General features: G+C 36.0%; 1 annotated feature.

The window, feature by feature from the left end:
- Positions 438 to 1,772: an enhancer, noted in NCBI's record as "VISTA enhancer hs1147". NCBI's record gives its function as "enhancer in: dorsal root ganglion[6/7] | trigeminal V (ganglion, cranial)[4/7] | cranial nerve[6/7]" and the evidence as "EXISTENCE:transgenic organism evidence [ECO:0001131][PMID:17130149]".

Consider the following 7,169-nt stretch of genomic DNA (forward strand, 5'->3'; position numbering starts at 1 on the left):
ATAAATACATATACATTGGTAACACATATATAATGGATATATTGTATAGGTATATGCACACATACATGTATTATACACAAAAATACTGCATGTATATAGGTAGATAGGCATATATATGTATATACATATATATACACAGGCATATATACACATATATTATGTATAATATATGTTATGCAGGCATATGTACACATACATGTACATATATACATATTCATAGGTATGTACATAGGTAAATAGCTAGATATATGTATGTGTATATATACCTATGTATATACATATCTATGTGTTTATATATACGTATATGTAAAATGTATATAATACATACATAGAGATACGTATATACATATCTGTCTTTCTATATACACAGCCATATGTGTATATGTGTGCGTGTGTGTATACATGTTTATATGGGAGAATTATTAGAATTAGCAAAAAAATGAAATGGTTGGCAATAAAGTAAATATTGATCCTCAACAGACACTATACTATTGTTTACTGTGTAATCACTAAGATAATGAATTATTGGTGTATGTATTAATGTGGAATAATGTTTACATTATAAGTGTAAAAATTATATAATAAAGTTTTGAAAATAGCACATGACTGAAGAAAAAAGTCATTTGGTTTCCTCTTTATGTTCTTATGCACTCTTATAGATGTATTTTTTATAATTATAAAACTACATTTCAGTGAAAAACGCGCAGAATAGACTATCTTAAATTCAATTACGAACAAGTTGAGAAATAAACTAATGAACAAACAAATGGTATAAGTAAAGATTGGCAACATCAGCAAGAACATCAGAATTTTAAACAATATGACTTGGTATATTTTCTACATTGCTGAATGTATTAAATATGAGATATTCAGGAATGGAGGTGATGCCTTGTAAATGTTTAAAAATGGTATTTTTTTCTTTCAAAATATTTAGTGTCTACAATTCATCAGTGAACCAAGTAAATCACGGCTTCTTCAAGTGCAAGGATCGAAACCAATTACCATTAGTGACCATCGGGTGCAGCCGATCCTTTCTGTCCTGTTGCCTGAATCTCAATGATCTCCCAAGTGTGCCCATGCAATTTAACAGAAAGATCAATATACCACAGCAGTTAGCAGCAGCTCTCTTGAAGTGCTTCACAAAACATGCTACATTTCTCTGCTGAATAAATGTCAAAACATTCCAACAGCTACAATTCTTGGGAGAAATCATTCTTCTGAAACATTATTGACATACTTTAACCCACATTTCCCGCTGCTCGCAGGCTTCCTACTGGCCAGTCAATTCTGATTTGGCAAGAGCCACATCGACATGTGTACCCTGCTGACTTACTCAGTTGGCATAAAAGATATCAGAATCTGGTAGATAGGTCTTGGGGTTCAAGGGTCAGTGGTCTAATGCTGACCCAAGGTCAAGGTGATGGCAACCTCTCTCCAGAGACTTGGCTTCATTTCTAATATGCCCTTGAAACCGATCAATATCATCACAGAGCTTGCCTTCCTAAGCATAAAAGACCTCCTGATCTAAAGGCTTCTGAGTTACTTCTGGCAAACCAAAAGCTTAAAAGCTGTGTCAGAGCATAGTGGAGCAGACTTTATTTCTCACTTCTTTGAGACACTGACAGTGATTACAGTTCTTCAAATATATCTATGAACTATGACATATGTCACATATATATTTATATATGTATATATGAGAGAAAAAAATAAATTTGTTTTCATTAAATGAGTTTTTTTTTGTTAGTTCACATCAAAAGCTCTCACATTGTGGCCACATTAGTCTAATTTTCATATAATGCTCTGATGTTTTTGAGAAGTTTTTGGTAGTTGCTGATATCTGAAATGGATATTTTTCTTTGATGTTTGTTTTGTTTTCCTTTGTTTTATGTCCTTTATAACAACTCCTTCCCTTCAATCTTTCTGTAGACTATTTTATTTGGAAATATGAAAATCTTCCAGTGTGAGAAACATTTCAACGTAAGTATGAGCAGCAAACCATTGCAGTCAGTGTAAGCTTTATTTTTCTGTTCATAAGAACAAGGACACATTAGGGCTGTCCACCGGCTTAATGACCCTGGAGGTGTCACTGCTGATGGGCAATAATGAAAATAGTTATCCAAATGATATAAGGTATAACAACTATTGTTCTACCAAAATTTATTCTTTAAAGATTTTTGGAAACCAAGCATAATATTATTTACCTAGAAAAGACTGTAACTTCCGAATAGAGCACCTTAGTTTTACTAATTCAGAAAGTTATAACAGGTTCGGTGAATCAACTGCTGCATTTGGCTTTTCACACAGCTCTGCTGGTAGTGTTTATTGGGTCTACACTTAATATAGATTTATTCAGTGTTAGTTAATAAGAAAGAAGAGGTCTTTACAAAAAAATAAAGTATTATCTTTATTTTCTTTCAGGTACAAAATTATTTTATGGAGTAAATAAATGTATATAATTGTTAAAACATTCAGCAGTGGTAAGGGAGATATTAAGGCTCTTTGCCTTAATTTTTCCCAACAAATATCAGCAATTGCAGTTTCAGTGATACATTTTTCATTGACTCCACTTAAAATTACACACTCTTGTAAGCAGACAAGAACCTCTTAATATTACCCATTATTAATTAATATACCCTGAAGAGAAGATATAAAGCCAACATTTTCATAATTATTTTGTATTACCCTTTTTTCAGAACATTTTTCAGACATGATTTAATATAAAAATGGAAAAATTACATGAAGTTTCAAATATAACTTCTTCAGGAAAGCAGTAACTAGATATTTCAGAAAACGATCAATGTCACCCTCTCTCTTTTTTCAAATGCACACACACACACAATCAATAATACTCTAAATAATTATTTTATATATGTATTTTAGGTTATGAAAACATATTATTGAGGTAATGTGCAAGAATTACATATAGCCACAATGTCACCAACATGACATGAGATTAATACAATAATAACCAAGATAGACATTACCACACCTACTCACAAATATACACACAAGAAGAGTCCTTGACTTAAATTCTGAGCCCTAGTAGTTAGCCAAAGATTTAATTATTATAATCTTGTTTTAGCTAATTCTTACACTTCTATAAAGAAACATCTGAGACTGTGTAATTTATAAAGACAAGAGGTTTACTTGGCTCACAGTTCTACCAACTGTACAGGAAGCATAATGCTGGCCATCTGCTTGGTTTCTGGGGAGGCCTCAGGAAACTTAACAATCACTGTGGAAAGCAAAGGGGAAGCAGGCACGTCTTACATGGTGGGCGCAGGAGGAAGAGAGAGAGAGGGGAGGTGCTACACACTTTTAAACAACCATATATCATGAGAACTTACCCTCGATCATGAGAGTTACACCCGGAGGAGTGGTGGTAAACCATTAGAAGCTGCTGCCATGCTCCAGTCACCTCCCACCAGGCCCCACCTCCAACACTGAGGATTACAATTGAACATGAGATTTGGGTGGAGACACAGATCCAAACCATATCAAATCTTACATAGTTTGAAAATTTCATAAAATCACATGTGTTAGATAAATTGCCAATCTTATTCTATAACCTGGAAGAAAATGAAATCTAGCCTATGTTAGATGAAGATTCTTATGATTAATATACTGACGTTCATATATATTTTGTGTTCCATATTTTTAAGTATTTTGAGGGCAAGTTTATTTTCTCCTCTATGCTATACAAAATATATCTTAATTATATGTTATGCCCCTTATGAATGCTTACTACCTTTGACATCGCCTTTGAGAATCTAAATAACCATTTCTTGAATGTTCACATTACATTTTTTATATCAGTTAATTTTCATATCACATTTTGAAGTAGATATTTTAGTATTCTATATCAGGAGCAGGAGGCTGTGAAAGTTAAGAAATTATTGTATATACATTTTTCTTCTACTTTTTTTTTTTTTTTTTGAGACAGAGTCTCGCTCTGTTGCCCAGGCTGGAGTGCAGTGGCGCAATCTCAGCTCACTGCCACCTCTGCCTCCCTGGTTCAAGTAATTCTCCTGCCTCAGCCTCCAAAGTAGCTATGTGCCACCACATCTGGCTAATTTTTGTATTCTTAGTAGAGATGGGGTTTCATCATGTTGGTCAGGCTGGTCTCGAACTCCTGACCTCATGATCTGCCTGCCTCGGCCTCCCAAAGTGCTGGGATTACAGGCGTGAGACACCAGGCCTGGCCTTATATTTTTCTTTTATACAGACAAATTTTTGCTATGTTGCCCAGGCTGTTCTTGAACTCCTGAGCTCAAGCAATCTGCCCATCTAGGCCTCCAAAAGTGCTGGGATTACAGGTGTGAGCCACTGCACCCAGCCATATTATTGTATATTTAGTTTCTAAGCTCAAGGCTGTCTTAACCCAAAGCCTATCCTGTTAAGCAATATACTATTCTAATGCCACCTCACCAAGAGTAGCTGAAGGTGATAGGCTCATGGCCACCAGAAAGGAGAATTCTTAACAGAGGGAATTGATGCCTTATCTATCAGGTCTGGAGATGACAGTAAACTAGGCAACTATCATGACAGTAAACTACCTAGGCAAAATATTAGTGAAATATACAGGTAGAACAAAGTCTTTCAGAGTAAAAAAAGGATGGCTTAGCTCGCATGTACCCTTACTTAGGAAGCTACTGCAAAGCTCAGTAAATTGAAGAAAGGGAAAAAACAAAGTACGGTGACCAGGACAGGAGTAAAAAGAAGCCTCAAGTTGGCAGCTGTCCAGGAGGTCCAGAGAGCAACCTGCACCCACTGGTTTTGTAAGACGGTGTTGAGAGAAGCCTCCTGCATGGGGCAGGGTTCCGGCAGGATTATGTGATGATCTGTTGGATCATTTAGAGCACAGTAGAGAAATTGTTTAATAGGTACAAAACTACAATTAGAGAGTTCAATGGGTTCTTGATTTCAGTAAGTTCTAGAGTTCAATAGCCCAGTAGGGTGACTGTAGTTAACAATAATATTTTTGCATCTTTTAAAACAGATATACAAGAAGGTTTGGAATGTTCCCAGATACAAAGATTAAAGATTGATGAATGTTTGAGATGACGGATATCTCAATTACTCTCATTTGATTATTACATATTATACGCATGTATCAAAATATCACATGTGCCCCCAAAATTTATACAATAACTCTTATCAATTATAAAAAATAAAAATAAAGTATTAATTAAAAACAAAAAATTGAAGTAAAACAATAGGAGGTATATAATAAAATATAATAAAAAATAAGATAGCAACTACTGTATGGAAAAACATTGAGTGAAGAAAAAGTACTCATAATACAACTTGGGTCAAGTATGAGTAACATTAATATTGTCATAGGAATGTTACCCTCTGCAATATATTTTAGATAACATTATGATTATTAGGGCTATAAAGTTAAAGAAAACAAAAGGTTTCTTTTCACACAAAGGTGACAAAAAATAATATAAAATGTATACTTCAAGTAATAAAAAGATGACTTATATTTAGGAATACTATATCCTCAAACAATTCACTCACAAAACACCCACAAACACACACAGCTTAAAGGATTCGATGTGTTTACGTCTAAGAATCAGCAAGTAATCTGTATATTATCATAATCCTCTTAGTAATTGTTTATGGCCAGGTTCCCTAGGAGCACAGCCTGAGATAGGGATTTCAGGGCACATGCTTTATTAAGAGAACATTCCTCTGCAAAAAGAAATAAGGGAAGTAGGATAGAGTAAGCAAAGGATGTCTTAGCTGGAGGGTACTTTGGTCAGATCCCACTGGGAGCACTGGATGTAACCTCACCACATGGTGATCCCTGCTTGAGGCAGAGGACCTTCTGGACCCTTTGTCAACCAGTCCATGTCTGCAGGCTGCCCTTGTTGGGGAAGTGAGGAGTGAACTTGGCCAGAACTGTTCTTCTGAGAAGGGGAACAGCTGTGATCCATTAGCAGCCAGAAATGACGGTGGCTGGGGGAGGGCTGCCCTGGGCTGGGAAGGGAATCTGGGTGCCACATGAACATCTACTGGAGCAAAATGTAATTTTAAAAATTATATGCCTATGCATTTGTTTTAGTTACTTAAAATTAATCTTAAACAAAAATAGATATGTATTATAATTAACAACATATGCGTTAAACAAGAAGCAAACATGAATTTTAGTTGATTATGAAGTTAATATGTTTATTAAAGAGTATTGTGTAGCACCAACCGCATGATTGATTTCATTTCCATCCCATTTTCTTGAGAAGATGGAGGTGGTCTGTCCTAACCTGCTTCTTGTAGGTTACAAGTCGAAGAACCAATATGGTAAGGTGACAGGAGTGAATACTTAAAAGGATAAAGTGCAATGGTAAGGTGCTCAAACACCTGCCATTTAAGAGATAGGTGAAGAAATTGGTGGTGTTTTGCCTGGAAAGGTTTATGAGAGATAGGATAGCTAATAATACTTCAGTTATCTTTCTATGATTTCAGAGGTTTTCAACATGAAAACAGTGAATATTATGGGAAACATATTTTAATTTAAGCTAAGAAGAGGTTGTCTGACATGACCCAACTTTGGGCTTGATGAGACCCCTGCCACAGGATACGTACACAGGTCAAACAAGTTAGTGATGGAGAATCAATGACAGAAGGCAACCATAGGAAGGAGAAAGGTTCATTCTAGGTAGCCTCTAAGGCACCTTCCCACTTTGGGTGTCAACAACCCAATGATACTTGTATAGAAGATAATTATGATGAGAAGGTGATCCTATTAGGCCAATTCATCTTAAATATTCTGTGATGCCATAAAACTCTCTTTGATACTTTTTATCTTTCTAAAAGATTTAATAAAGAAATTCTGGACCCGCTGCAGTGACTCACGCTTGTAATCCCAGAACTTTGGGAGGCTGAGGAGGGTGGATCATGAGGTCGAGAGTTCAAGACCAGCCTGGAAAATATGGTGAAACCTGTCTCTACCAAAAACAACCAAAAAATTAGCCAGGCACGGTGGCAGGTGCCTGTAATCCCAGGTACTCGGGAGACTGAGGCAGGAGAATTGCTTGAACCCAGGCAGCAGAGGTTGCAGTGAGCCAGATGGTGCCACTGCACTCCAGCCTGGGCGACAGAGTGAGACTCTGTCTCAAAAAAAAGACATTCTGTAGGATTCCACTCTTTCTGCCCACAAGTGGTAA

Source organism: Homo sapiens, chromosome 2 (assembly GCF_000001405.40).
Source record: "Homo sapiens chromosome 2, GRCh38.p14 Primary Assembly".
In the NCBI taxonomy this organism is placed as follows: Eukaryota; Metazoa; Chordata; class Mammalia; order Primates; family Hominidae; genus Homo; species Homo sapiens.